The sequence below is a fragment of the Homo sapiens genome, chromosome 1 (genome assembly GCF_000001405.40).
Source record: "Homo sapiens chromosome 1, GRCh38.p14 Primary Assembly".
Taxonomy (NCBI): Eukaryota; Metazoa; Chordata; class Mammalia; order Primates; family Hominidae; genus Homo; species Homo sapiens.
Window position 1 is genome coordinate 236289186 of NC_000001.11, and position 27415 is coordinate 236316600.

General features: G+C 42.7%; 1 pseudogene, besides 2 other annotated features; it reads left to right on the forward strand.

Moving 5' to 3' along the window:
* Nucleotides 1124-1362: a silencer, noted in NCBI's record as "fragment chr1:236453609-236453847 (GRCh37/hg19 assembly coordinates)". NCBI's record gives its function as "represses an EF-1alpha promoter that drives an FKBP-Casp9 reporter gene in an ReSE screen in K562 erythroleukemia cells {active_cell/tissue: K562}" and the evidence as "EXISTENCE:reporter gene assay evidence [ECO:0000049][PMID:32094911]".
* LOC124904852 (uncharacterized) lies at nucleotides 11795-11866 on the forward strand (annotated as a pseudogene).
* Nucleotides 14684-14993: an enhancer, noted in NCBI's record as "active region_2821". NCBI's record gives its function as "activates an Ori minimal core promoter by ATAC-STARR-seq in GM12878 lymphoblastoid cells {active_cell/tissue: GM12878}" and the evidence as "EXISTENCE:reporter gene assay evidence [ECO:0000049][PMID:35858748]".

The window sequence follows — 27415 nt, forward strand, 5'->3', positions numbered from 1 at the left end:
CCATTAAAGCAAAGGATTACAGTTTTTTTTTACAACAGAGGTGCATTTGGGGGCTATGAAAAAGATTGAGGGAGTAACAGACTCCTCAGACTGGTGAAGGACCATTGCTGGAAACCATTACTGCAGGAGTTTGCCTCAAGAAGTACTTGAAATGTCTATAGCTAATGGATTCTGAAGCAAAGGCTTGAGAATTATCTTGAATAGATTGCTGTAATGCTTAAGAAACGTCGTGAATTAACAAAATTGCACTAAGCATTTACATTTTCAAGATCTCATCAAATGTATTGTGTTTCTTTGATGACCGTATGGCTTGGTTAACTTGTGACTTCTAATGAAGGAGGAAATTGTTGATGAATGGCTCTAAATAAAAGTCAAGGTAATGGGATGGAAACTAAAAACACCAGTAATTTTCTCTCCTAATAGCAAGCTGAATTGTGATTACTGAACCTGCTGAGTAATGGCAATCTGTTGTGTTTAAACAACTGTGTTTGTAGATGGTACTGGTGTGTTAACAACTGACCATGCCAGTTTCTTAAAACTGGATTTCCATCTGTGACATAGTTATAGGGGAATTTTGGCTTGGTGATTAGATTTCTGAATTTTACTGAGGGGATTTCTTCGCCTTGTCTTTTGACAATTAATAGGGATTAAAAGTTGTTAAAATCAAAGAACTTGTCTGGCCTGCAGCTTGTTATTAGTTATGCTACCTTAAGTATTCCTTGTTTTTCTTTAATATTTACTCAGCTGTGTCATTCTCAAGTATTTTCACTTAAGAGCATTAAAGCTGATAAACTTGAATCAGTTAGAATTAATTCTATTTCTAAAGGAGTTGACATGGTGATATAGTTTGGATAAAACCTTTTCTGTAACAAACATGATACTATGCTAGAAGTTAATATGTGATGAGGAATCTAAATAATTGGAAAAACTAGAAACATAATTCTACCAATTTCCACCCCCCACATAACTTCTATAATGCAAAAAAAAAAAAAAAAAGCCTTCACATAACCACAGAATTGTGAGGCACATTGGGACCACTTGACTTCTGCCCACTCTCCTTATCCACTCCATTCCACATAGGGTCCAGGGTAAATCACAGTGACAGCTAATACCATGAACATCACAGGAAGTAGAAAGGATCAAGGTCATAGAGATGGTGGCAGCAAATAGGAAAAGGCTGACTGCACAGCCCAGCTGGACATGGTGGTCAGTGGGTGGTTCTATGCTGGTACTAAGTTCTTCCCTCCTGTTGGTCTGTACCCCAAGTCATTGGGAGCCTCAATAAGTTTAGTTTCTCTACATTCAGCTGCTTTTTCATTAGTTCGGTTGAGTATGTACATGGATTACAGTCAGATGCGTCGTCTGTGCCTTATGCTGCTGCTGCTTCTCTGCCGCCATTGCCTTACTGTCCCCCTTCCCCACCCACCTGCCAGGAGAGTCTGGTTTTGTTGTTGTTGTGTTGTTTTTTGAGATGGAGTCTCGCTCTGTCGCCAGGCTGGAGTGCAGTGGCATGATCTCAGCTCACTGCAACCTCTGCCTCCGGGGTTCAAGCGATTCTCCTGCCTCAGCCTCCCGAGTAGCTGGGATTACAGGCACACACCATCACGCCCAGCTTATGTTTGTATTTTTAGTAGGGACGGGGTTTCACCATGTTGGCCAGGATACTCTTGATCTCTTGACCTCATGATCCTCCTGCCTCGGCCTCCCAAAGTGCTGGGATTACAGTCATTAGCCACCACACCCAGCCGAGAGTCCGGTTTTTATTGTGCAGCCTCAGTGAGGTAAGATCCTGACCTCCTGTGTGTTATTCTCTCACACTTGCCCACATCTGGACTTAGATTTGGATTCCACTTAGCCTTAACAGAATCATCTGCTTGCCGGTTTTACTTTATATAATTTCCATTGTTCCATTTAGGGACTTTTGATGATCTCTCAGAGATACACATTCTTCAGGGATCTTTTTCTTCTACTTGAGCAGGATGGCCTTGCATATAGAATTGTATTTAAATATACTGTGCTCTTTTTCTGGAAAAGACAAGCTTATCGTATAATCTGCAAGGCATTAAAAGTGACTCTTACCTAATACTTCTCAAGGTTGGAATCCCAGTGGAATTCTTGTTTGTGATCATCCACAGTCACCCACAGAAGCACGATGAGCCACCACAGTAAACTTACGTGAGAAAATTGTTCTAGTCCCCAAGAATGAAAAAGGCCATTCTTGTGTCTCCTTTTTCCCGTGATTCCAGGGATTTGCTTTCTATTCTGTTATCCAATGAAATCATCTCGCTATTTCTTAGGAATATTTTCACCAGTCTGCATTGCCACCAAGTTATAAAACAATCAGAAAACAGAGAGAAAATGTCCAATTATTTCAGAGATTATAATTATTTGGGAGTATCTTCTCCCCAGTTTTCAGATACTGTTTTTTTGGTTGTTTGTTTGTTTGTTTGTTTGAGACAGTCTCACTTTGTTGCCCAGGCTGGAGTGCATTGGCGCGATCTCGGCTCACTGCAACCTCCGCCTCCCAGGTTCAAGCAATTCTCTGCCTCAGCCTCCCAAGTAACTGGGATTACAGGTGCCCACCACCACGCCCAGCTAATTTTTGTATTTTTAGTAGAGATGAGGTTTCACCATGTTGGCCAGGCTGCTCTTGAACTCCTGACCTCGTGATCCACCTACCTCAGCCTCCCAAAGTGCTGGGATCACAGGCATGAGCCACTGCACCTGGCCCAGATACTGTTTTAATGATGTTTTAAAGTCTGATCTTCCTGGTGGTGGTTTTTATGTTTTATTTTTTTAGACGGAGTCTCGCTCTGTCACCCAGGCTGGAGTGTAGTGGCGTGATCTCTGCTCACTGCAAGCTCCACCTCCCGGGTTCACACCATTCTCCTGCCTCAGCCTCCCGAATAGCTGGGACTACAGGCGCCCGCCACTACACCCGGCCAATTTTTTTGTTTTTTTTTTGTATTTTTAGTAGAGACGGGGTTTCACCGTGTTAGTCAGGATGGTCTCGATCTCCTGACCTCGTGATCCGCCCGCAGCGGCCTCCCAAAGTGCTGGGATTACAGGCGTGAGTGACCGCACCCAGCCTCCTGGTAGTGCTTTTTAAAGGGATCCCTGGATTTATCATACAACCACATTAGAGCGATTCTTCACCATACAAAATAACTTACCAAAGAGGTTTTCCTACCTAATAACTTCATTGTACTTTTGAAATCACCATACATAAAATTTACTTATTTATCAAAAAAAGGCTCTAAGACTTTTAATAATGGAAAAAACATTTTTGAAAATCAGAAGGTGTGCTTATTTGAAACCAAATGTTGATACCTGGAAGCTTTGTGTAGTCATTTTTTAAAAATAGGCTTTATCTTTTAGAGCAGTTTTAGTCTCACAGCGAAGTCAAGTGGAAAGTACAGAGAGTTCTCCTACAACCCTGCCCTGTGCACACTGCCTCCCTAGAGTCAACATCACCACCTCCGGGGTACATTTGTTACAATCAATTAAGCAGCATTGACACATCATTATCAAGTTCATAGTTTACATTAGGGTTAACTCTTTGTATTATATATCCTATGGGGTTTTTGTCTTGTTTTGTTTTGAGATGGAGTCTGGCGCTGTAACCTAGGCTGGAGGGCAATGGCAGGATCTTGGCTCACTGCAACCTCCGCATCCTGGGTTCAAGCGATTCTCCTGCCTCAGCCTCTTGAGTAGCTGGGATTACAGGAGGGTGCCACCACACTTGGCTAATTTTTGTATTTTTAGTAGAGACAGGATTTCACCATGTTGGCCAGGCTGGTCTTGAACTCCTGACCTCAAATGATCCACTCACCTTGGCCTCCCAAAGTGCTGGGATTACAGGTGTGAGCCACCGCGCCAGGCCCATCCTGGGGGTTTTGACAAGTGTTTAATAATGTGTATCTACTGTTGTAGAATCATACAGAATAGTTTTGCTGCCTTAAAAATCCCCTGCACTCCACCTTTTCATTCCTCTCTGCCCCAGTGAAATAATTTTAAAATAAACCTTGCTACCTAGAGGTTTCTCTCACAAATGGAAAAGTCCATGTGAGCTGGAATTCATTCTAACCATGTAGATTAAAAGAAAATATCAAATTCATTAGCTCAAAATGGTTTCTCTTCATTCTGTCTGCATGATGTGCTTTCAAGAGAAAAAGAACTGATGGGTCATTGTGCCCGGTTATCTTATAAAACATTAATGATTATCGACTTAATATTCTGACCAAAATTATGAACCAGGAAAGTGAGATTTTAAATCTTGCAGCAATCCAGATGGCATAAGCTAAATCACAGATAAGAAAAATCTCTGTAGCACTGTCAAGGTTATGGAAGAAAATTAAGATACAATGACTGCTGTAGACTATTTGCGTGCCCCCCCAAAATGTATGCATACTAAAATGATGGTATTTAGAAGTGGGGCCTTTGGGAGGTGATTAAGTCATGAGGGTTGAGCTCTCATGAATGGGATTAGTGCCCTTATAAAAGAGACTGCAGAGAGCTCCTTCGTCTCTTCTCCATATGAGGACCCAGAGAGAAGATGGCAGTCTATGAACCAGGAAGTGGGCCTTCACCAGACACAGAATCTGGCACGTTGATCTTGGACTCCCGGCCTCCAGAACTGTGAGAAATAAATATTTGTTGTTTAAGCTATGTGGTCTGTGGTATTTCTGTTATAGCAGCCCAGACAGAAGGACAGTGATTTTCCTTAGGTGTCTTTGGTATAGCACCCTACAGCCATGACTTCCCGCATCATTCTATGCGGTCACCTCTGAAGTGCTTCTGACCAGAATTGGCTTAGGATTCTCTACACCTCAGCCTGCTGCATAAGGTATCTATGCCACCTGCATTTCCCCATGTAAAAAACATAGCTCTGATATCATGTTTTGAGTGACAGTTAAAAAATCCCCTTACTGTCCTGAAAAGTTGCATACAATTCTTAATCCTTTTTTTTTTTTTTTTGAGACAGAGTCTCACTCTGTTGCCCCAGCTGGAGTGCAGTGTGCAATCTTGGCTCACTGCAACCTCCATCTCCTGGGTTCAAATGATTCTTCTGCCTCAGCCTCCTGAGTAGCTGGGATTACAGGCACGCGCCATCACGCCCGGCTAAATTTTGTATTTTTAGCAGAGACAGGGTTTCACCATGTTGATCAGGCTGGTCTCAAACTCCTGACCTCATGATCTGCCTGCTTCGGCCTCCCAAGGTGCTGGGATTACAGGCATGAGCCACCACACCCGGCCCTTTCTTAATCATTTTTTAATGGAAACCTACTAATGTGTTCTTGTTTGTTAATTTCTATGATGTGGAGGAATAGACACTCCCCTGCCACTAGAGATAAGTAAAGGGTAGACAACCACTTCGCAGGGATGTTATAGGGGTTTTAGGCATCAAAATGAATGACTGGGCCACATAGGTTTTAAGAGTTTTTCAACCTCGACTTTCTTGATTCCACCTAAAAAATGGAGCTGTACTGAGCTTTTTTCCAACCAACCAACAAACGAAAGCACTTTTTCTAACCTATTTGAAACATTTTAGAATAATCCCATTTTATTTTTAGTATGAACATAGGTGTCAGCAACTCAGTAAGTGGCCCGTTGTCTTGTCCTCCCACATTCAATAGTTTGAACTGGATTGAGTGAATGGGACCATCAGTAGTCACAGTCTTCACAGTCACGAAGTAAACTAGACTAGATTACATATAATAATGCCCAGAAAACGGGAATGTAGTATACTTAAAAAAAAAAAATAGCAAGTGAACGGGCGTTGTGGCTCAAGCCAGTAATCCCAGCACTTTGGGAGGCTGAGGCGGGCGGTTCACTTGAGGTCAGGAGTTTGAGACCTAGCCTGACTAACAGAGTAAAACCTCCTCTCTACTAAAAATATAAAAAATTAGCTGGGCATGGTGGTGCGTGCCTGTAATCCCAGCTACTTGGGAGGCTGAGGCAGGAGAGTTGCCTGAACCCGGCAGGCAGAGACTGCAGTGAGCTGAGATCGCACCACTGCACTCCAGCCTGGGTGACAGAGTGAAACTGTCTCAAAAAAAAAAAAAAAAAAGTAAGAAAAACTTTCTGACTCAAAGATTGAAGCTCAAAACTAACAAAAGCTGGTGTTGAGATGAAGGGAGCTAGTTATTGTGGGGTTATTTTAATATAATTGATTACTAAAGAAATATTTTAAAGTATCTGGATATTAGTGTCATAAATAACTATTTGGGAGAAACGTCATTGGACTGTCCTGGGATATCAGTACACCATTTCTTCCAACATTCATAGCACCAGCATTAGCAACATTAGGACTTTGCAGATTTTGAAGACAATCTTTTCATCCCAGAGTGAGTGTCTCATCCATCACTGTCATTATGTTTAAAATATAAGTATGTTGGCTGGGCACACTGGCTCATGCCTGTAATCCTAGCACTTTGGGAGGCCAAGGAGGGCAAATCACCTGAGGTCAGGAGTTCGAGACCAGCCTGGCCAACATGGTGAAATCTGTCTCTACTAAAATTACAAAAATTAGCCAGGTGTGGTGGCGGGCACCCGTAATCCCAGCTACTCGGGAGGCTGAGGCAGGAGAATCACTTGAACCCTGAAGGTGGAGATTGCAGTGAGCCGAGACCGCATCACTGCATTCCAGCCTGGGCTACAAGAGCGAAACTCTGTATCAAAAAAAAAAAAAAAGAAAAAGAAAAGGAAAGAAAATAATATGCTGTACTATATTTGCCACTTTTATAGGATTTTCTGTGTTGCGAATGAGCATTTGAATCAATTTTTCCTTTTTAAATTAAAAAAAGAAAAACAAACTGAGACTTGTTTTAAATGAGTCCTTCCCATCCCCCCCAATTTTTTCTTCTTCTTCCACATGGATTCTCATCTGTAAGTACTTCCTATGCTGAAAGGCAAAACTGGTACATGTCTCTCTTCTACTTTCTATGACCCATCAAGAAAAGTTTTTTTTTTTTTTTTTTTTTTGAGACAGAGTTTGGCTCTTGTTGTCCAGGCTGGAGTGCAATGGCTCGATCTCCGCTCACCGCAACCTCTGCTTCCCGAGTTCAAGTGATTCTCCTGCCTCAGCCTCCTGAGTAGCTGGAATTACAGGCATGCACCACCATGCCCAGCTAATTTTTTGTATTTTTAGTAAAGATGGGATTTCTCCATATTGGTCAGGCTGATCTTGAACTCCCGACCTCAGGTGATCTGCCTTGGCCTCCCAAAGTGCTGGGATTACAGGCCTGAGCTACTGCACCTGGCCAGGAAAGAATTTTTTATGAAGACGTAATCCTTCAGTTGAGGGTTCAAGTATGAGGCAATGGTCTTTGATTTTCCTTCCTTCAGATCAATCAAAATTTTTAAAGTGAATAAAATGACCATAAGTCAATTAGGGTAATATTATTTACATACTTTTTTAAAAAATAAAAGTTGAGGCTGGGCATAGTGGCTAATACCTGTACTCTCAGTGCTGTGGGAGGCTGAGGCAGGAAGATCACTTGAGCCCAGGAGCTAGAGACCAGCCTGGGCAATATAGCAAGACTGCGTCTCTACAAAATTTTGAAAATTAGCCGCGTGTGATGGTACGTGCCTATAGCCAAGCGACTCAGGAGGCTGAAGTGGGAGGACTGCTTGAGCCCAGAGGTTCATGGCTGCAGTGAGCCATGATCACACCACTGAACTCCAGCCTGGGTGACAGAGCAAAACCCTGTCTCAAAAAATAAATAAAAAATTGTTAAAAGTTGAACGATGATTAAAAACTACATATGGCATTTGTATGCATGTGGATAAGATCTGGTTAGAAAACATGGACAAATGAAATCAGTTTGATATGCTTGCAAAAATGTGGGTACATTTTAAATGTTTATTTAAATGTACATTTGTTGGAGGCACAAATGTTTCTTATGATTAGGCATAATTGAAGCCTGTCAGTAACAATATGAACAATTAAGCAGCTGACCAATCATTACCTCCTCCTCCCTGCTCCTGTTACCCAATAAATAGGAAGAGCTGTAGAAGCTTGGGGGACTGTCTTTACTCACTAGAAGCAGGGAGCTCTCTTCTTCTTCCTCATGCTAGTCTTTCCTTAAAATAGTTACTTTTGTTTTAAGTTATCATTTCTACGTTCGTCTCTTCGTTCAGTCGTAACGATGGTCTCAAGCAGTAACAGTAGTAATTGCTCTAGTGACGGTCTCAAGTAGCAGTAGTGGCAGTCAGCCACATACATTTATATAGCTACCTTATCTGTGACGTAAAGTTAGTGATGACACTGAATATCTACAGCGAGAGATAAAGATAGGATGGGAACAGGTATGCATGTGTATATGTGTGACCAAATGTTTTCAAACTGAGTTATCTTTTAAGTATTATATCTATATGCCCTTTGCCTGTTCTTAAAACTTTACTACCAACTCTCTAGGAAACAGTCCTAAGTTCAGATTTTCAGAACTTGGGAAGTCTCTGGAAAAGATTTATTAAAGTGGCAATTTGATAAGACTTACTAAAGGGACTTAAGGAACGCTAGTCCTGATAATGCTTAGTGTCTACTGGGATTTTTCTTTTCATGGGAAGTTGGGCCCTTTGGGGAAAGTAGAAAGAAGACTTTGTTCAGTAAAAGAAAAGAACAGTGATGCTACTTACTGGTAACCCGTCTATAGGAAACCAAACTTACAGTCCTTTTTCTACCACCAAGTGACTCGAGTCAAGTCATCTAACCTTTCTTTTTAGATATCCTCATCTGTAAAGTGAGTGCAATAATTCTTGCCTTCCTTAAGCCTTATAAAGCTGATGTACAAGTAAAATGAAATAATAGCATTTGGTGGTACTGACTCCTTGCTATTTCCAGGCAATTTTCCTTTCATTTCAAGGTTCATCCAAGCTTCACTGGATGATCCAACTTCATAATAAAAGGACTATAAATGGAACCATAGTTTGGATTGTGAATTGCAAAAATAAACCCAGATGTCAAAACCTTAATGTCCACGAAGGCAAGGACAGGGTCTATTTGGTCACAACTGAATGCTCAGCCCCAGGCCAGGAGACTAACACATAAGTAGTCAGTTTACAGATATTTGTCAAATGGACATGCAGATTGGCCTGCATGGTTATCTCTATGGAGAAACTAGCTCTGAGAAAGTAGCCCATGCTTAGGGTATGAATGCAGTACTAAATATTCTTTTTTGTTTATTTTTAGACAGAGTCTTGCACTGTCGCTCGGGCTGGAGTGCAATGGCACAAACTCGGCTCACTGCAACCTCTGCCTCCGGGGTTCGTGCGATTCTCCGGCCTCAGCCTCCTGAGTAGTTGGGATTACAGGCGACACCACCACACCTGGCTAATTTTTTGTATTTTTAGTAGAGATGGGGTTTCACTATGTTGGCCAGACTGGTCTCGAACTCCTGACCTCGTGATCCGCCTGCCTTGGCCTCCCAAAGTGCTGTGATTACAGGCGTGAGCCACCCCACGCGGCCGGAAAGTTGTTTGTTCTTTTTCTTTTCTTTTTTTTTTTTTGGGTGCCATCTCAGCTCACTGCAACCTCTGCCTCCTGGGTTCAAGCGATTCTCCTGCCCCAGCCTCCGGAGTAGCTGGGACTACAGGCACGTACCACCACGCCCAGCTAATTTTTGTATTAGTAGAGACGGGGTTTCATCATGTTGGCCAGGGTGGTCTCGATCTCTTGACCTCGTGATCTGCCTGCCTTGGCCTCCCAAAGTGCTGGGATTACAGGCGTGAGCCCCTGTACCCACGCAGTGTTCAATATTCTACGAGCTGTAGAAGGCAGCCGGACAGGGAGGGATTTGGAAAGTATATACTAATGGCTCTCTACTTGCTTGCTTAAGCAGTATTCTATGTTGTCTTTGAAGTCTACATATCCATAAATGTGGATATGAATGTGGGTAGAGATTATTCAAAACAGCAATATGTTACTTGATTTGCTACATAGAATTAAGGAAATCATTGGCTCTTCAAATGTTACAGGTAGGTAGTTCACAGACAGCATTAACAGTAATATCAGTTAAAGTGTTTGCTGGATGAACTGTGGTCTTTGTTGTTGTGTTTGTAGTGAGGACAGCTCCCTAGAAGACTCAGACCCAAGTAATCTTGGTTATAAGTTCCTTTGGATAGATCACTGTTCTTGGTTCATTCAGTTCTGGTTATAGGTCCTCATGACAATTCTCTCTCTTTAATAGATTATATAGCTACATCATAAAAGATGGGCTGAATGAACCTCCTTATAATGATTTAAAATTTTTCATTTCTGGGTCATTTCGTAAAAAGTTCTTTCTCTCTCTCAGGAGCCAGACACAAATATGTAGTACCCTTGAAGCAAATATTCCCTCCACCTGAGAAGAAAAGGGGAAAAATGGGAATGAGGAAAAGGAATGATTACACTTCAAAATTTGAACAAAATCTGATCCTGGCATTGATTGTTCTGAGCTGAGCCTTGCCAGAAGGCCTGGGAACTCTACTACCCGCTGCTGTCTTGAATGCAGGCTTATAAACAGCTAGATTCTATGATGGCTTACAACAATTTATTCAACCAAAAATTACGGTAATTTAAAATAGAGGACGGGCGGGGTGGCCCATACCTGTAATCTCAGCACTTTGGAAGGCCGAGGCAGGCGGACCACTTGAGGTCAGGAGTTCAAGACCAGCCTGGCCAACATGGCGAAACTCCATCTCTACTAAAAATACAAAAATTAGCCGGGTGTCATGGCGTATGCCTGTATTCCCAGCTACTCGGGAGGCTGAGGCAGAAGAATCGTTTGAACCTGGGAGCCGGAGGTTGCAGTGAGCCGAAATCGTGCCACTGCACTCCAGCCTGGGTGACAGAGTGAGACTTCATCTCAATAAATAAATAAATAATAAAATAGGGATACTGTACAAAAAAAAAAAAAACAAAAACCTGTTAGTTTGAAGCCTTCTGTTCCTTCATCATTTACTCTTATTTTTCATAAGTCCATCTATGAGGTTTAGAAATTTCATATTTGTATTTTTTCCTAACCAATATTTGCTGAGGGTTAACAAATTTTCACCCACAAAGAAGTTCTCTGTTAAAAAACACTGGTTCAATTTTAAAATTGTAATAGTTGCCCAGATAAGAACTAATTTAATAATTATATTGGACCAATGTTCTATATTTGTTGAAGCAGCTTGTGTTATTTTTACAGCTTTAAGAGAATTTGTTTTACCTAAGAAGAATGGATTATCATTTTATTGTTAGTTTAAGTTGCAATATAACCCTTCAGTCCCTGGCAACACGGAAATTACTTTTTAATGCCTCGTTTTCCAAATAAATACATCCAAATAATTTCACATTTAAATCATAATTTCAGGCTGGGCGTGGTGGCTCACACCTGTAATCCCAGCACTTTGGGAGGCCAAGGCGGGTGGATCACTTCAGGCCAGAAGTTCAAGACCAGCCTGGCCACCATGGCAAAACCCGTCTCTACTAAAAATACAAAAAATTAGCTGGGTGTGGTGCATGCCTGTAGTCCCAGTTACTCAGGAGGCTGAGCCAGGAGAGTCACATGAACCCGGGAGGTGAGGGTTGCAGTGAGCCGAGATCACGCCACTGTACTCCAGCCTGGGCAACAGAGCAAGACTCTCTCAAGACAAAAACAAAAACAAAAAACCCATAATTTTAAAATCGCTACTCCTTTTTGTATAGCATTTCTCAAAATCACACACACACATATATGCACCATGGATACATTATAGTTCCCATGTGTACATGGATACATGTGGTTTCTTTGATATTCCTAGAAAAGACTCTCTCTGATGGAAATACCAGATCCTTTTGTAGCTCATAAGCATGATGATTGAGGTTTCACACACATTAATGAAATGTGCCTCCCTCAGACTGATAGGGACAGGAGGCAGGGAAATTCTGGGCAGAAGAGAGTGGGTCCCTGGCCAGGGCCCCTCCCTTAAGCCTGGAACTGCAGCCCAAAGTGAGAACTGACATCTCTGTTTTCCCACTCAAATGTTGCCTTTTCCAAAACCACCCATGGCCCGTTCCACCCCCAATCCTGTGCCTATAAAAACCCCAGACTCTGTGGGCAGAGAAGAGGAGAAGCAGCTGGATGTCGCAGACTACGGCTGAACATCAGACAGAAGTGGCTTAACTTCAGAGGGACAGCTTGACCGTATAGCTTTGGAGAGGCGTCTAGCTGAGGGCGGCCAGACTCTGGGGGAAGATTACCTTCCTGCTCCATCCCCTTTTCAGCTCCCCTTCCTGCTGAGAGCTGCTTTCATCGGCAATAAAATCCCCTGCATTTACCATCTCCAATTTGTTTGTGTGACCTCATTCCTTCTGGATGCTGGACAAGAACTCAGGTATGGGTGTGAAAGGCTGTCACACTGACGCTCCGCCGAGCTGTTAACACTTAAGCTGTCTGTGGAGAGCAAAGCTAAAAGAGCACTGACTGTAACACTCCTTCTGGGGCTTCAGGGGTTGTGGGCACACCCCTAGAGGCTGCCATGGGGCAGTATAAAGTTCGTTCCTGCCGGCGCCCAAAAGCAGTCACCCTGGCTCCAGCACCTGCTCACCTGCATGCTCCCTCCTGGGAGAGGTTGAGTGCAGTGGGTTCAAGTGAGTGGAGTTCACCCCTGCTGGCGTGGAAGTAGCCAGCTAGTTCCAGCAGCTGCACTCCAGTTCCTGCTCACGAAGGGGTCAGGGAAACTTGCTGATTCAAAACTTTGTTTCTACATCAGCACATTACCCACCTGACATTAAAAAATATATATACTGAAGAAAAGAGCATACGAATTTAATATTAATCTATTGGAAACATTCTTTCTGCTTTCATGCCCATTTTTACACCTGTGGAAATGGAGGTGGGAGAAATCATCACAGGAGGAGGCCCTGGGACAACAGCCAAGCCAATTCGTTAGGAAACAAACAAAGCTAGTCCCGGCACCTGGGTTCTTCCCTCTCCCTCTTCTGGGCCTGGAGTGAGAAGTGGGAGGGGATCTGCCTCTAGGCTGGAGTTGTAAGGGTGGGCAGCACATCCTGCTTCTCCCTCATTCCAACTAGAAATTGGCCAGGACATAAGTCTCTGTTGCCTCTGTAGACTCTGACCACCCCTCTCCCAAGAAGGAGTACAAATAAGGGCAACAGACACTGTAGAGGGACTCTGATCCTGAATGATAAGCCCATGGTCTAAACTTACCAAATACCTGGGGCAAGCCGACACTGGAGAACAGAAAATAAAGGGAATTACTTACTCAGGAGAAAAGAGAGTTAATAGAGCAAACAAGGCAGGGCTTTATATATTTAAAAAGTATATAGTCTCCAAATTTAAGAGAATACATTACTTACATGAAAGGCTATTACGTATTTTTAAAACATTTAGGGATCTTGGAAATGAAATGCCTAGTTGTTCAAAAATCATTTTCGGCCAACAGATGAATACATCCACTAAATATGGTATACAATGGAATATTTTTCAGGCTTAAAAAGGAAAGAATTTCTTTCTTCTTCTTTTTTTTTTTTTTTTTTTTTTTTTTTTTTTGAGACAGTGTCTTGCTCTGTCACCCAGGCTAGAGTGCAGTGGTGCTACCACTCCCAGCTAATTTTTATTTTTTTATTTTTTGTAGAGACAGGATTGCTGTATTTCCCAGGCTGGTCTCCAACTCCTGGGCTCAAGTAATCCTCCTGCCTTGGCCTCCCGAAGTGCTGGGATTATAGGCGTGAGCCACTGCACCGGGCCAAGGAAAGAGATTCTGAAGTATGCCACAACATGGATAAACCTGGAGGACATTATGCTAAGTTAAATAAGGCAGACACAAAAGGACAAATATTGTATGATTCCACTTATATGAGATACCTAGAATAGGCAAACACATAGAGACAGAAAGTGTAACAAAGATTAGCTGTGGCTGGGAAGAGAAAGGAGTGGGGAGTTATTGTTTTGGGTGCAGAGTTTCTGTTTGAGATGATAAAAGGTTCTGGGAATGAATAGTGGTGATGGTTGCACAATAGTATGAATGTACTTAATGCCACTGAATTGTACACTTAAAATAGTTAAAATGATACATTTTATGTTATGCATATTTTACCACAATTAAAAAAAAATCACTTTGGGGCCTGGCGTGGTGGCTCACACCTGTAATCCCAGCACCTTGGGAGGATGAGACGGGAAGATCCCTTGAGGCCAGGAGTTCAAGACCAGCCTGGTCAAATAGTAAGACCCCATTTCTATAAAAAGGAGAAGAAGAAGGATAAGGAGAAGGAGAAGGAAGAAGAAGTTTTACATAGAAGAATGAGAATAGCAGCTGAAGAATTTCACCCCAAAGTTAAGAGGCAAAGTGGATACAACTAAAAGTTCTAATACTGGGGCTCATGCATTTCATTGACTTCATTGTCCTCCTGCCTCATCAACTTCTCCCCCAGAGAAATTACGTTAAGGGGCCTAATTCAGTCCCACCCCCATCCCAACTTATACCCAGCAATAGGTTCCAGCCAGCAGCACTGGCCCTGCTGGGTGCCTGGACTGGAGCCTGGGCTTGTGCCTTGGCCAACACATGTGCCTCCAAGGAGCGCTCTAAGAAGCCCAGACCCAACAGCAGCCCCTCAGCACCCCCTGCAGTCTCCAGTAAGATGTGGACATCTGCACGGCTCAGGCTGTCCCCATCTAGAGCACAGGTCTCAGAAAATGAAAGACAAGAATTAGTCGATTACTCCAAAGCACATGAAAAATCCCCCTCCAACTGCTAGTAGCCCTCGGTGAAGGCCCCAAAGCTCAATGCCCTCACTTCCTCCTTCATGCCCAAACCTGCTTCTTTGCCCTGGGCCAGGGCCCTGCAGTGGCTTGTCTTGCACTGTGGTGTTTGGAGTCTTGTCTTGGGTCTCCAGGTCACCCAGTGGAGTATGCAATGTAGCAACCAGAGGAAGCAGCCCTGGGTAGTAAGCAGGGGCAGGAGCTTAGCCTCCAGGGTAGCCCATGACCTTGGGGCTCAAAAAGGGTGAGAATCAAGCAGCCTTTAAAGCAAAGCAAGAGGGAGAGGCAGGCCGAATGTGACTCTCCCCTCAGCCTGCGAAAGCAGTCACAGCCTACTCACCTAAACGTGCCCAGATTTACCTGTCCACAGAGTCTGACTGCCCCACTGAAACGCTAGTTACCACCTGTTATTAATGGACTCCAGAGGCCTGAGTGAACCTGCTTCGTGAGAAGCCTAGTCCCAGGCCTGGTTAAACCCAGCAAGTGCAGGTTGTCCACAGCTTTTACTGCTTTGAACTGATTTGGGGGAGAAGTACCTTTCTGTATCAACCCAATAAAATGATCCTTTTATTCCACTTTCCTCCTTTATTTATTAAATGCAGTTGTGCAGTTGAAGGTGCACTGTGCGGGCTGTCAATCTCAGTAAGAGCTAACGTCTGAGCGTTTCCTCTGTGCCAGGCTTTATGGCGAAGGCTTTTCATGGATCACATCCTCAGAACAACAGTGTGATGAAGCAAGGGCTGCTCTCCCTTTTATTTTAGACATGAGGAAACTGAAGCTCAGAAATAGTTCACAATACCCTAAACTAACAGGCAACAACAGGCAATGTAGGATATGGCTCCATAGAATTCGATTCCAGGGACCTGGGCCCATCCACTGATGTATATGGGCTTGGAGTCTAGTTTTCATTCTGTTGCTAACTCACTGGGTGACATTGTGCAAGTCAGTCATCTGTCACGGCCTTGGTTTCCTTATCTGTAAATAAATTATCACATTAAGCTGCTTTTAGCTGAGGTTTTATGACTATTACTGAGCACCTGCTGTTTAGAAGGCCTTCGCTGATAGAGAGATGTCGAACTGCTGTAAGTGTTTTTGGGTGAACTTTTTGCTGTACATTAATTTTGCAAGGCCATTCAGCTCAGGAGTCCTCTTTCAATTTCTAGGCTTTACTGACGGTTTATTACCCAGTCTCAAATTTATTCTACCGCATCCCCAAACAAGCACCAAGTGAAAAGCTTTTCATTTTCTCCACTAAAAGAACAAAACTTTTAATTAATATTTGGAATCCACTGTCTCTGGAGAGACTCTTTTACCCCCGCCCTCTGGGTTATAGGACCTATACCAGCTTTGCCTTATTAACGTTCATCTATTGACTTGAACCTGCTTTCCTCTTTAGAGAATCAGTCTTGATCATTTAGAAGGCTATTGACCTAAAATTACCTCCATTGATTTCTATAATATACTGGATTCAGATGCAACCAGGATTTGCAGCAAAACATGGTTATATATAAACTTATATTGAACTTATAAGTTACATTGAACAGGCTGGTGCAGTGGCTCACTCTTGTAATCCCAGCACTTTGGGAGGCCAAGACAGGTGGATCATATGAGGCCAGGAGTTCGAAACCATCCTGGCCAACATGGTGAAACCCCATCTCTACTAAAAACACAAAAATTAGTCAGGCTTGGTGGTAGGTGCCTGTAGTGCCAGCTACTCAGGAGGCTGAGGCAGGAGAATTGCTTGAGCCCGGGAGGTGGACATTGCAGTGAGCAGAGATCGTGCCATTGCATTCCAGCCTGGGCGACAGAGCGTGATTCCATCTCAAAAGAAAACAAAAAAAAGGTATATTGAACAATCAGACAAGCCTAACATAGAACAATCAGATAAACCCAACATCATATAAGAACATTTGTGGTGGAGTGAAAGGACCAGAATACTATAATACTATGTTTCGAAGTAGACAAACTGGAGTTCAAATGTCAGCACCTACTCTTTTTTTTTTTTTAGTTAGTGTGACTTTAGATAAGCCAATTAGCTTCTCTGAGCGCTAGTTTCCTCAGCTCTTCAAAGTAATATTTTCCCCATAATAACAAACAACTATATGGTGCCCTGTTCTAAGTATTAACTTGTTCAATCCTCAGAACAACCACCGAGGTAGATATTTTATTATCCCCAATTTTACAGACGGGTTATGCAACTTGCCTAAGCTCAGTTACTAAGCGGTGGAGACAGAATCTGAGCCAGGCAGTTGGCTCCAGGGGTCATGTTCTTAAACATAGCAGAACCGTAACTGACTTAGTAGTGTATATAGTACCAACTCCCAACTCCCAATCCTGACATTCATATTCCAGGCTCCTAGCAATCTGTCATTGAAGGAATCAAGTACTGTACTATATATACAATATATGGAAGGAGAGCTGAGTAAGGTAAGTATCTCACAACTTTTATGCTCTTAAATCCCTGGAAGAAGTAGCAGCAGGATTTCCCATGATTTTATTAACTCAGAAGATTGACTTGTGACTTCTGGGCAAGGACAGGGCCTCTGCTTGTTCTGAAAATGTTGACAGAGCTGAATATTGGCTTTGAACTTCATCTTCAGGCCTAGCTCATAGAAACGTTTCTCAGGCAAAGCTTGATCAGGGATAGTTCACCAAGAATAAAGGTGAGAATTCCTTGTGTCATTAGCTCTAGGTTAGGCTGAGAAGAGGGCAACTGGTATTTTTTTTTTTTTTTTGAGACGAAGTCTCGCTCTGTCACCCAGGCTGGAGTGCAGTGGCACCATCTCAGCTCACTACAACCTCCACCTCCTGGGTTCAAGTGATTCTCCTGCCTCAGCCTCCTGAGTAGCTGAGATTACAGGCACCCACCACCACACCTGGCTAATTTTTGTATTTTTAGTAGAGACGAGGTTTGACATGTTGGCCAGGCTGATCTCAAACTCCTGACCTCAGGTGATCCACCCACCTTGGCCTCCCAAAGTGCTGGGATTACAGGCATAAGCCACCATGCTGGGCCAGAAGAGGGCAACTTTTGTCTTCAAGATTCTTCAACTTCCTTTGGGAAATGTCCTATCCTTAGGGTTTCAAACTGGTGGTCTGAAATTCGTGGCACCATATGACGCAAAACCATCCTGTTTGGCTTGCAAAGTGTTGACGTACAGATTTTGCTTAAATTGAATTAGTTATTAACATTTAACAAGAAGGGCAGTTCACATTTATATTCAAGCTGCTGGCCCATTGAAAAATCTGAAGGAGCCAGGCACAGTGGCTCTAGCTTGTATTTCCAACATGTTGGGAGGCCAAGGCGGGAGGATTGCTTGAGGCCAGAAGCTTGAGACCAGCCTGGGCAACACAGTGAGACCCTGTGTCTATAAATAAATAAATAAAAATGGAAAGATTTTTTTAAAAAAAGAAAAATCAGAATATCTGACAACAGTCCGACGTGTCAATCATCATCTGGAGCTTAGCAGACACTGCTGCTACTGGAATGGGCATGTACCGCACTTCCCCATAGCCCCCTCACGAATGTCCTTTTCACTAATGTCCCATTTCACTAATGTCCATACCTCCTGCCTCCTAATAGCAACTGAAATGGCCACCACGACTCCTGCCTCTTGGGGCCTTTCCCTGACATCAGCCCTTTTCACCAAATGCCTAGCACTTTGCTGGTTGAAGTCTGTCCGCTTCATTAACTCAATTACAGACTCTTTCCAGGTTTTAAAAAACCCGGAAACGTAGCCTTGCTAAAATGCAAACATCTCCCTGGAGGCCGTTAAGGGAATAGGATTAATAGGATTTCAGTTGTCCAGAAGACCCACGTTATAAATGGCCTTTCAGCAGGATTTGCTTGATAATAAATCATCTTCAGGACACATATTAGAGACATTTTAAGGCTATAGTTTCTTCTTAGAGTTTTTATTTTACCAGTAGTCACTTTTGAGAAGTGACTCATTTTGAGAAATGGATAAGTCGAGATCCAGAATTATATGGATAATATAATCCAAATGTCATGTCTAAAGAAATCTGTATTGATGATCTACTTATTGCTAACTTAGTAAGGGATTGTTTCTTAAAAACTCCTAAAATAATATGTACATAAGTGAATAAAACAAAATCCTTCATAGAGAGAATTTTCTTGATGATAATTCTTCATGAAAAACTTTTCAGTCTCCAATTGTGGTCTTAGTTTTTTTTCCTAATTTGATACTTTCTAAGATAGTATCTTACTATGGAACCTTTTGTAATAGATCTACTACACAACTCATTATTTTTGACAATAGTTAAACCATATTTAATCAAGACCTCTGGAAAATGTAGAGCTATAGTCCCATATATAATGAAAGTCCGTTCAGATTTAAGTGGATACGAACCAAGAGAGCAGTATCATCAAAGCCATAATTGAGAATATCACCTCTCCCATAAGTAATCAGTAATTATAGATTTATGTTATATTTATCATCTTTTAGAGCCGGTACTGTACAGTATAAAAAGCATCACATTTTATCATTTCTCAACTAGAAATGAGAAAACATTGCTGACAATAGATGTGCTATCCAGAAAGAACAAGGAGTGTACACAGTAGTTTCAAGTCTTATATTTGCAAGCCTAGTTCTTGTTGAACTTTATTTATGACACAATTAAAATTACTTTATGTCTTTTTATTTTTATTTTCATTTATTTATTTATTTTTTGAAATGGAGTCTCGCTCTGTCAGCCAGGCTGGAGTGCAGCAGCATCATCTCGGCTCACTGCAACCTCCGTCTCCCGGGCTCAAGCAATTCTCCTGCCTCAGCCTCTAGAGTAGCTGGAATTACAGGTGTGTGCCACCACACCGGGCTAGTTTTTGTATTTTTAGTAGAGACAGAGTTTCACCATGTTGGCCAGGCTGGTCTCGAACTCCTGACCTCAGGTAATCCGCCTGCCTCAGCCTCCCAAAGTGTTGAGATTACAGGCGTGAGCCACCGTGCCCAAACTTTATGTCTTTTTAAATATTTATAGGACAACTCATAGTTTTGTTTACTTTTAATTTTCATAAAATATTTTAACTACAATTCCCTAGGAAGGCAGCCATCTACTTACGATATTTTATAGGGCACCCAAAGTTCTCTGCCATTCAACATCAGTAGGCTTTGGCAGCCTCTGAAATCACAGCTGTTGGTGACACACAATGCTGCCAACAAAATCTGCACCCTCTCTTATCTTGGTATCATTTCAATTCATGATACCATGTCTGCAAATCTACCTGGATTGCAATCTTGGTCACATCTAATTTTACTTTTTTAAAAGAAATCCCAACTCCACGTTGTCCTCATGACAGCCTCTGGCAATATTATTGGTTCAGACGTAGGATAACTGATCAAAGTTGGTCCAGTGGGTCATATGGGAAGGGCTTTCATTTTACGGCTAGGAGAGAGGTAAGTGAAGAAGTGTCTTGTTCTAGAAGCTGCTAGCAGCCATCTTGTGACCTGGAGGGACGGGAGTCTGCAGTCTTCTCTGCTACATTGCTTAAATGTTTAACCAGGGTTACTAGATCCTTATTCCTATGTTTAACCAAATCACTTCTAATTTATTTTAATCTTCTTCTTTTTTTTTTTGAGACACAGTCTCGCTCTATTTCCTAGGCTGGAGTGCAGTGGCACGATCTCGGCTCACTGCAACCTCCGCCTCCCAGGTTCAAGTGATTCTCCTGCCTCAACCTCCTGAGTAGCTGGGATTACAGGTGCCCACCACCACACCCAGCTAATTTTTGTATTTTCAGTAGAGACGGGGTTTCACCATGTTGGCCAGGATGTTCTCCATCTCCTGACCTCGTGATCCACCCGCCTCGGCCTCCCAAAGTGCTGGGATTATAGGTGTGAGCCACCGCGCCTGGCCAATTTTTGTATTTTTAGTAGAGACTGGGTTTCACCATGTTGGCCAGGCTGGTCTCGAACTCCCGACCTCAGATGATCTGCCCACCTTGGCCTCCCGAAGTGCTGGGATTACAGGCATGAGCCACTGCACCCGGCCCTAATTTATTGTAAAAGCACACTGCTCAAAGCAGAATTCTGTTTTTCTAAATTACTAAAAAGAAATAAATTTCTTTGTTATATGATATTTCGACTGCTAATCAAACACCAGTGTAAGCAATGTAACAGATCTCTTGCAATTTCATAGTATTTCTCTTTCCATAGGTAACCAAGTTTTGGCTGTCAGAGAACAAGTTTGATTAGGTTTGGGATCTTTAAAAGTCTTTTGATTATTCTTACTAATGTGTTCCGCCGCGTTTTACAGCCCCAAATAACTTATTGACCCACTGCTTCATTCTTGATCATTGCCAATTGCAGGAGAGAACTCATAGATAATGATGTTGACAGAGTCGAGGCAGACAGAGAAGGCAAATCCAAATGCAGAATGGGTATGTCCTGGGGAAGGAAAAATTGCTGCCCTTTCCAAGAAGAAAGGAGTCCAAGGTCACTGGAATACCACCTGGTAGCTGGCTGGTCACCTTGAGACAGGGTGCCAGAGTAGGTGTCCAGTGTGAATTATGGTGGCCAGAAAAAATAGAAAAATTAGGCACTCAGCAGTGAAAGCTTTGATGATGGAAAGTCCATATTAATGAGCTTTCACATAACTTGAAGCCTTGCCACTAAGAATGATATATTCACGGCCAGGCGCAGTGGCTCATGCCTGTAATCCCAGCACTTTAGGAGGCCGAGGCGGGCGGGTCACCCGAGGTCAGGAGTTTGAGACCAGCAGGGCCAACATGGCAAAACCCTGTCTCTACTAAAAATATAAAAATTAGCTGGGCATGGTGGCCACCTGTAGTCCCAGCTACTCAGGAGGCTGAGGCAGGAGAATCACTTGCACCCGAGAGGTGGAGATTGCGGTGAGCCGAGATCGTGCCACTGCACTCCAGCCCGGGCAACAGAGCTAGACTCAGTCTTAAAAAAAAAAAAAAAAAAAAAAGGATGATATATTTATGAACACACTGGGTTGGCAAAGGGAAAAAGGAGACTAACATTTAGACCTCAGGTGGTCTTGCTTCCTTATTTTAAAACTTCCTTTGCAATGGAGTCTAAATAATCTTTTTGGCCTTCTTGGGACGTAGTGAGGGGACATGGAAGAGTTTGACATACATGTGGCTCAGAGCCAGTATTTCTACCGTCCAAGTCTTGGCATTCCTTCCCCTGCATCAGGGATTCTCTACCTTGGCACTGTGGTCATTTTGGGGCATCATAGTGTTTCGTAGTACCTCTGACCTCTACCCAGTAGAAGACTGTAGCCCCCTGCCGGTTGTGACAGTCAAAACTGGCTGTGGACACTGCCCAGTTGTAAGTACCACTGCTCTACACCATCCCAAGGGGTTTCTTATCTTTACCCTGCAGTGCAGCCAACCTCATGGCCACAGGCTAAAGCAATCTCTCTCTTCTTTGAAGTTCGTTGGCAACTGTAGTCCATCACAATCTATTTACCATTCACCATTAGCTGCTGTGTATTATGAGTTGTCTTTTATGTGTGTTTGTATCATAACCTATCCAGAATGTAACATCCTTGAGGAGAGAATTCCTCATCCATGCAATAGCTCTCTATTTCTCACAGCACCTCCCCACAGTTGCCAGTACACATTAGTTGCTTGAATCATTGATAGTTTTTCAATGTTCCATTTGATGTCAAAGGATATCTCAGATGACCCTTCTAAAATTGGTGCCCTTTGTGCAAAGAGAAAATTATAAACCCTAGACTTTGACTTAGCTCTTATTAAAAGTGAAGCCATAGGGAGAGAAAAATCAGGATAGTATTTCTTTGAGATGGTAAGATTACCCATGATGCAAAGACTTTTGAGAAGGAAACTCTGAACTTGTTACCCTCGGACAGAGAAGAGGGAGAAGGCTGAAAAATATTTACTTGTCAGTCACCATAACGACACAAGGAGAAAAGAGCATTAGCCAAGTGGGGTAAAGTTCTGAACTTATTCTGATTTTTAGTATCATAAAGTTACGTTTCTGGCTAATTTTTTTTAATGAAGGGCAAAACATCCTCTTGTAATAATCAATTTTTAAGTGCAAAATTTTTTTGCCCACTCCTATGGAATTTAACCCTTAACTTTGAGTCTGAGGTTGCAAGTTTGTTGTAGGATACTGTATTTATTATATGTTTATTATAAGGAAATGCAACTTTTTAACTCATTTATTGTAAAAATTTAGCTTGCCCACCTAAGTTTTAATGTATGCAATTGGCCCTCCATATGAAGCATCTGCTGATTGAACCACCCATGATATTTGGAGGCTGCGTTGTGGTGGCTCATGCCTGTAATCCTAGCACTTTGGGAGGTCGAGGTGGGAGGATCACTTGAACCCAGGAGTTCGAGACCAACTTGGGCAATATAACAAGACCTTGATTCTACAAAAATTTAAAATATTAGCCGGGCATGGTGGTGTGCACCTGTAGTTTTGGCTACTTGGGAGGCTGAGATGGGAGGATTGTCTGAGCATGGGAAGTCGAGACTGCAGTAAGCCTTGTTAGTGCCACTGCACTCCAACTTGGGTGACGGAGTGAGACCCTGTCTCAAAAAAACCCGTAATTTTGGGTGGCGGGAGGCGGGGAAACAAGGATGGCTGTGTTGTACTGACCATTTACAGACTTTTTTTTCTTATCATTATTCCCTAAACAATACAGAATAACAGCTATTTACATAGCATTTACATTGATTAGGTACTATAAGTAATCTAGAGATGATTTAAAGTATATGGGTAGATATGCATAGGTTATATGCAAATACTATACTGTTTTATATAAGGGACTTGAGCATCTGTGGATTTTGATATCCATGGAGGGTACTGGAACCGATTCCCCATGGATACGCAAGAACAACGGAACACCATCTCTATGATTAGTTCACCACCTATGGCCTTATAACATTCTGCTATAACTTCACCAGTATATATGTAGCACAAATCCATTTTCTAGGCAGAAAGCACTAAGACACTTTGTCTTTACAATCTTTCTCATGCCTGTTTAGGAAAAATACATTTTATGATTTTAACAGACATATTTCTAAGTAAAATATGATTCTTGTTTCTCCAATATCTTGAATATTTCTTTTAAATGACTTAAATATGGCATTTCTGGAAAAGGCAGCAAGATGGAAAGTGATCTTTCACTAAGAAAGGATATTATAGGCTAGGCTTAGTGGCTTACACTCATAATCCTAGCACTTTGGGAGGCCGAGGCAGGTGGTCACCTGAGGTCAGGTGTTCGAGACCAGCCTGGCCAACATGGTGAAACCCTTCTCTACTAAAAATACAAAAATAAACTGGGCATGGTGGCACACGCCTGTAATCCCAGCTACTTGGGAGGCTGAGGCAGGAGAATCACTTGAACCCGGGAGACGGAGGTTGCAGTAAGCCAAGACCATGCCACTGTACTCCAGCCTGGGTGACAGAGCCAGACTCCATCTCACCAAAAAAAAAAAAAAAAAAAAGGAGGACATTATAGCTTCTTCCAAAAAGGTCATCAGCATCAAAACATCTTAATGCTTATCCCATGTGTGGTACCAGTGCATGGGATCCCATCAGCTCCAGGTTTTCGCTGAAGCACTATTTTAAATGACTGACAATATATTTTGGTAACAAAGCTTTCAGAGCAGCTAGTAAGATTACTATAATGCATAAGAGAGTGTGTGAATTAAATTGCACTAAGGGTTTGCATTTCCATGACACTAGCAAATGTATTACCATTCTACCATGACTGTGTTTTGGTTGACTTGTCACTTTACTGAATGAGGAAACCACTGGGGAACAGTTCTATTTCAATGTAAAGGTGTTAGCATAAAAATGTAATAACATAATTTGCATTTTAATAGCCAAGCGAACTTCTATTAATAAAGCAGCTGGATATTGGTGTTTACAAATACTGTAATGGTGTCCTGGGGAGAATAGTGATTCATTTCTTGGATTTATATGAGTGAATTTTTGTTTGACCTTAGATTTTCTGGCCTTTTCTGAGGACACTCCTCTTTCTTTTGAAAAATGAAAGGAACAAAAAGTTACCAAAGTTAAAGAAATCCTTTTCCCCTGAAATATTTCTTGAGTCTAAAACTTTCTTCACTTTACTGTATGACATTAAAAAAAAAAACATGGAATAACTCAAAATCATTAAAGGCTCTGAGTTTGTGGAATGAGAAATGTTGTCTGGAAAAATACCTTTTGATTATTTTATTTTTATTTTTCAAGACAAGGTCTTGTTCTGTCACCCAGGCTAGAGTACTCGATTACAGCTCACTGCATCCTCGACCTCCCAGACTCGAGGGATCCTCCTGTCAGAGGCATGTGAACCAGAGCAACTCCATCTTGAATGGGGCTGGGTAAAATGAGGCTGAAACCTACTGGGCTGCATTCCCAGATGGTTAAGGTAGTCTAACTTGCAGGATGAGATAGGAGGCTGGCACAAGATACAGGTCATAAAGACCTTGCTGATAAAACAGTTTGCAGTACAGAAGCCGGCTAAAACCCACCAAAACTAAGATGGCCACGAGAGTGACCTCTGGTCATCCTCACTGCTACACTCCCACCAGCTCCATGACAGTTTATGGATGCCTTGGCAATGTCAGGAAGTTACCCTATATGGTCTAGAAAGGGGAGGCATGAATAATGCACCCCTTGTTTAGCATGTCATCAAGAAATAACCATAAAAATGGGCAACCAGCTGCCCTCGGGGGCTGCTCTGTTTATGGAATAGCCATTCTCTTATTCCTTTACTTTCTCAATAAACTTGCTTTTGCTTTACTCTGTGGACTTGCCCTGAATTCTTTCTTGCTCGAGATCCAAGAACCCTCTCTTTGGGTCTGGATCGAGATCCCTCTCCTGCACACTCCCACCTGAACCTACCAAGTAGCTGGGATCACAGGCACACACCTGGCTAATTTTTAAATTTTATTTTTGAAGAGATGGGATCTCCTTATGTTTCCCAGGCTGGTCTCAGACTCCTAGGCTCAAGGGATCCTCTCACCTCAGCCTCTCAAAATGCTGAGATCACAGGTGTGAGCTGCAGCACCTGGCAAGAGAAAGACCTTTTTATAACAACCGACATGGCTGGGCGCGGTGGCTCACTCCTGTGATCCCAGCACTTTGGGAGGCTGAGCCAGGTGGATCACCTGAGGTCAGGTGAGACCAGCCTGGCCAACCTGGTGAAAACCTGTCTCTACTGAAAAAAAACCAAAACAAAAATGAGCCAGGCATGGTGACGCACAACTGTAAGCCCCGCTACTTGGGAGGCTGAAGCAAGAGAATCGCTTGAACCTGGGAGGCGGAGGTTGCAGTGAGCCGTAATTGTGCCGTTGCACTCCAGCCTGGGTGACAAGAATGAAACTCCTTCTATAGTAAATAAATAAATAAATAAATAAATAAATAAATAAATAAATAAAATGACTAACATATTGTACTAGACTACAGTTTAATGTGCTAGACATGTTTAGGAGGCTCTAATATTCAAAACATGGGTAAAAGTCATGCCATAATTCTGCACCATTTCTTCACACACTAACTTCTAACTGCAAATCGCAGGGCGCAGTGGCTCACGCCTGTAATCCCAGCACTTCGGGAGGCCGAGGCGGGAGGATTGCTTGAGCTCAGAAATCCCATCTCTACAAGAAATACAAAAATTAGTCAGGTGTGGTGGCACATGCCTGTGGTCCCAGCTACTAGAGAAGCTGAGATGGGATTGAAATTGCCTTTGCAAAAATTGTAACTGAGAAAATTATGACAGTGAAAGAGATCTGACCTAACCGACTCCATCTTGCTTCTAACCTCAAAGCTGCCCTTGCTCATTCCTGGGGTGAGGCTGAACTAACTTTGGGAGGAACTTAGTTTTATAGTTTAACTTTGAAACAAAGATGATCACAGCCCTTTCCCAAAACAAACCCTCTTCCTGCCTGGGGACTAGACTACCTCTGTAGGACTAACAAATCAGCCACGAGATTAGACATTATGGTCTGGGAGTCATGCAGCTGGAGGCTGCAAGATTCTGAACTTCCCCAGATTGTTACTGAGGATAACATCACTGTTGTAAAACCTAAGAGCAGTGCTTGAGATATTTTGTCAAGACCCTGTACTTGACGGCTCAGCTGGCACCACCCAGATCAATAAAGTGGCTCCTCTCGTCTTGTGGCCCCCACCCAGAAACTGACTCAGTACAAGGGGCGGCTTTGATTCCCTAGGATTGCATCACTGACCTGACCAATTAGCTAGCACTCCCCACATTCCAAACCCCTACCCACCAAATTATCCTCAAAAACCCCAGTTCCTGAGTTTTGGGGGAGACTGATTAGAGTAATAATAAGACTCCTGTCTCCCGTACATCTAGCTCTGTGTGAATTAAACTCTTTCCCTATTGCAATCCCCTGTCTTGATAAATCAGCTCTGTCTAGGGCAGCGGGCAAGGAGAACCTGTTGGGTGGTTACAGGAGAATCACCTGAGCCTGGGTGGTCAAGGCTGCGGTGAGCTTTGATTGTGCCACTGCACTCTAGCCTGGGTGATAGAATGAGACCCTGTCTTGAAAAATTAAAAAAAATAATAATAAAACAGGAATCATAAAGAAATGGAATAGAACCAGCATATACTCTTCAAGTATTTTTGCCTTCTCCTTAAGAAGATGGTAGCTTGTATTTTTGTTGTTGTTGGTTTTAGAGATGGGATCTCACTGCGTTGCC